Source organism: Homo sapiens, chromosome 1 (genome assembly GCF_000001405.40).
Source record: "Homo sapiens chromosome 1, GRCh38.p14 Primary Assembly".
In the NCBI taxonomy this organism is placed as follows: domain Eukaryota; kingdom Metazoa; phylum Chordata; class Mammalia; order Primates; family Hominidae; genus Homo; species Homo sapiens.
In genome coordinates this window covers 214,726,265-214,730,202 of record NC_000001.11, presented here as the reverse complement: position 1 = coordinate 214,730,202, position 3,938 = coordinate 214,726,265, and the positions used below count along the sequence as shown (strand labels likewise).

General features: G+C 41.0%; 1 annotated feature.

Annotated features, from left to right (window-relative positions):
- Positions 2,460–2,996: an enhancer, noted in NCBI's record as "H3K27ac-H3K4me1 hESC enhancer chr1:214900550-214901086 (GRCh37/hg19 assembly coordinates)". NCBI's record gives its function as "activates a minimal SCP1, AML or CMV promoter by ChIP-STARR-seq in primed H9 embryonic stem cells {active_cell/tissue: H9 hESC(primed)}" and the evidence as "EXISTENCE:reporter gene assay evidence [ECO:0000049][PMID:30033119]".

The following is a 3,938-nucleotide window of genomic DNA, read 5'->3' as shown; positions in this document are numbered from 1 at the left end:
ATCTCCCTCTTCTTTCTCTTATAAAGACACTAGTGATTGGATTTAGGACTCACTCTAAATCCCAGATGATTTCATCTCAAGATCTTTAACTAATTACATTTGTAAAGATCCTACTGACAAATAAGGTCATGTTCTGAGGTTCTGTGTGGACATAAATTTTGGGGAGATACTATTCAACCTACAGTGATGTCAATGCGGACATCATGTATCCTCTAATATTATGCAATGAGAAGGGCAGTTTACTTCTGTGGTATTCTTCTCAAACATCTATAAAGCAAAATCTTATTATGAGGAAAACATCAGACAAATGCAAATGAAAAACATTGTGCAAAATACCTCACTATACTCCTTGAAACTGTCAAGTTCAGAAAGAACAAGGAAGACTGAGAAACTGTCCTAAACCAGAGGAGACTAAGGAGACATGAAAACTAAATGCAATATAATAATCTGGACTGGATCCTGGAACAGAAAAGGCAAAGGCTTTTTAGTGGAAAATTGGTAAAATCTGAATAAAAGTCTGCAGCTTAGTTAACAGTTATTGTACCAATATTGTTCTCTTAGTTTTGGAAAATGTGCCACAGTGATATAAAATGATGACATTAAAAGAAACTGAAATTGGGTGAGGTGTACGCAAGTGCTCTCTGTACCATCTTGGCAACTTTCCTATAAAAATGATGAACTGTTTAATGGGGGTAATGAAGAAAATGACTAATAATATGAAGAAAAAATAAGTTAGATACATACCTCACACCATATATAAAGGTGAGTTCCTAAATGTAAAAGAGCCAAAGGAACTAAGCATAGTAAAAATATCCTCGTGACTTTGTACTGAAGAATTTTCTCATATGTAAGACTTCGAAACCAAAAGCCACAAGTTTAAATATTGAGGAATTTCAATAATTTCTATTCAACAAAAATCATCATGGACAACACATTCACAGGGAAGAGATGAAGAGAAAATACTTGCAATTTCCAAAACTGTTAAGAGATTAATATCTAAAATATAAAAAGAACTCCTTCTAGTCAACAAGAAAAAGTCAAAACCCAATAAAAAATGAATAAAAAATATGAATAGACAATTTATAGATGGCAAATCTTAAATGAATTACAAGTACCTTATTAGTTATAAAAGAAATACAAACTAAAACAAGTATATACACTCCTCAGGTTGCAAAAATTTGATGTAAGATAGTATAGTACAGTATGAAAATTGGATTCTCATGCAGTGCTGATGGAAGTACAAATTGGTATGGTTATTCTTGAAAACAATCAGGTAGTCTTTGAAGAAATTAATTATGCCTATAGTCTATAATCTAGCAATCCTCCTCTTGAGTATATATCCCAGAACACTTTCATATGGATATATAAGGGAGCATGTATTATGGTTATTCATTCCAATATTAGTTTTGGCAACAGAGTTGAGGTCAGCCTAGATGTCCATCAATGAAGAAGTGGAAAGGTTTAAAAAATATGTAATAATACCACCCTGTAGTTAACAGAGTTCTCTTAAAAACAACGCTGAAAGAACACAAGAAGCAGGATGGGATCTGGAGCACTATAACACAGAAATTTAAAACACTATTTTTAGTGTTTTAAATTTATATCCAAAGAAATATATAACCAAAGAGAAATTTCAGAATCATTAGCATAGATGCCTTGAGAGAAAAGAGGAGTAAGAGGAAACGAGTATGGATATGGAGTAAGATTTTTTTAAAGTAATAAAAAGGAGGCTTTTTGTTAACTAATCACAATGTTATATCATGATTTGGGTAGGGTTAACTCTGAGCTTGGGGTTGAGAAAAAAAGAACGATATTCAAAAGCCAATTTTTGTTAGTGCATTTATTGCATACCTCCTATTTGCCCAACACTATTCTAGGCACTGGTGCTCCCAGGCTGCAAAAGACGAAACCCTTGCCCTCATTAAGTTTACCTTCTAGTGTCAATGACAAACAATAAACAAGTAAGCAAGTACGCATCCATTATAATGTCGAGTGTAACTCAGTGAAGAAAGAAAAAGCAGAAGTAGGGGTTAATAGTCATGTGGGTTATAGGAGCTATTTTAGATAGAGGGATCACTGATCATAAAAGGCCATCTAGGTTGCTGGCAAGATGGCCGAATAGGAACAGCTCCGGTCTGCAGCTCCCAGAGAGATCAACTCAGAAGGTGAGTGATTTCTGCATTTCCAACTGAGGTAGGTACCCAGTTCATCTCATTGGGACTGGTTGGACAGTGGGTGCAGCCCAAGGAGGGCGAGCCAAAGCAGGGTGGGGCATTGCCTCACCTGGGAAGTGCAAGGGGTCGGGGAACTCCATCTCCCAGCCAAGGGAAGCCATTAGGGACTGTACCGTGCACTCTGGGCAAGATACTGCACTTTTCCTACAGTTTTTGCAACCCACAGACCAGGAGATTCCTTCCAGTGCGCACGCCACCAGGGCCCTGGGTTTCCAGCACAAAACCGGGCAGCCATTTGGGCAGACACTGAGCTAGGCGCAGGAGCTTTCTTTCATACCCCAGTGGTGACTGGAACGCCAGAGAGACAGAACCATTCACTCCCCTGGAAGGGGGGCTGAAGCCAGGGAGCCAAGTGGTCTAGCTTGGTGGGTCCCACCCCCACGGAGCCCAGCAAGCTCAGATCCACTGACTTGAAAGTCTCGCGGCCAGCACAGCAGTCTGAGCTCGACCTGGGATGCTTGAGCTTGGTGGGGGAGGGGCATACACCATTGCTGAGGCGTGAGTAGGCGTTTCACCCTCACAGTGTAAACAAAGCCACAGGGAAGTTCAAACTAGGTGGAGCCCACCCCAGCTCAGCAAAACCCTGCGGCCAGACTGCCTCCTCTCTAGACAGGGCATCTCTGAAAAAAAGGCAGCAGCCCCAGTCAGGGAATTATAGATAAAAGCCCCACCTCCCTGGGACAGAACACCTGGGGGAAGGGGTGATTGTGGACACAGCTTCAGAAGACTTAAACAGAGAGCAGCAGATCTACCAGCACAGCGTTCGAGCTCTGATAAGGGACAGACTGCCTCCTTAAGTGGGTCCCTGACCCCCATGTATCCTGACTAGGAGACACTTCCCAGTAGGAGCCAACAGACACCTCATATAGGAAAGCTCTGGCTGGCATCTGGTGGGTGCCCCTCTGGGATGAAGCTTCCAGAAGAAGGAACAGGCAGCAATCTTTGCTGGTCTGCATCTTCTGCCAGTGATACCCAGGCAAACAGGGTCTGGAGCGGACCTCCAGCAAACCCCAGCAGACCTGCAGCAGAGGGGCCTGACTGTGAGAAGGAAAACTAACAAACAGAAAAGAATAGTATCAATATCAACAAAAAGGACATTCACTCAGAGACCCCATCCAAAGGTCACCAACTTCAAAGACCAAAAGTAGATAAATCCATGAAGATGGGGAGAAACCAGCACAAAAAGTCTGAAAATTCCAAAAACCAGAACACCTCTTCTCCTCCAAAGGATCACAACTCCTCACCAACAAGGGAACAAAACTGGACAGAGAATGAGTTTGACAAATTGACAGAAGTAGGCTTCAAAAGGTAGGTAATAACAAACTCCTCAGAGCTAAAGGAGCATGTTCTAACCCAATGCAAGGAAGCTAAGAACCTTGAAAAAAGGTTGGATGACTTGCTGACTAGAATAACCAGTTTAGAGAAGAACATAAGTGACCTGATGGAGCTGAAAAACACAGCATGAGAACTTCGTGAAGCATACACAAGTATCAATAGCCAAATCGATCAAGCGGAATAAAGGATATCAGACATTGAAGATCAATTCAATGAAATAAAGTGAGAAAACAAGATTAGAGAAAAAAGAGTGAAAAGAAATGAACAAAGCCTCCAAGAAGTATGGGACTATGTGAAAAGACCAAATCTACATTTGTTTGGTGTACTGAAAATGACAGGGAGAATGGAACCAAGTTGGAAAACACTCTG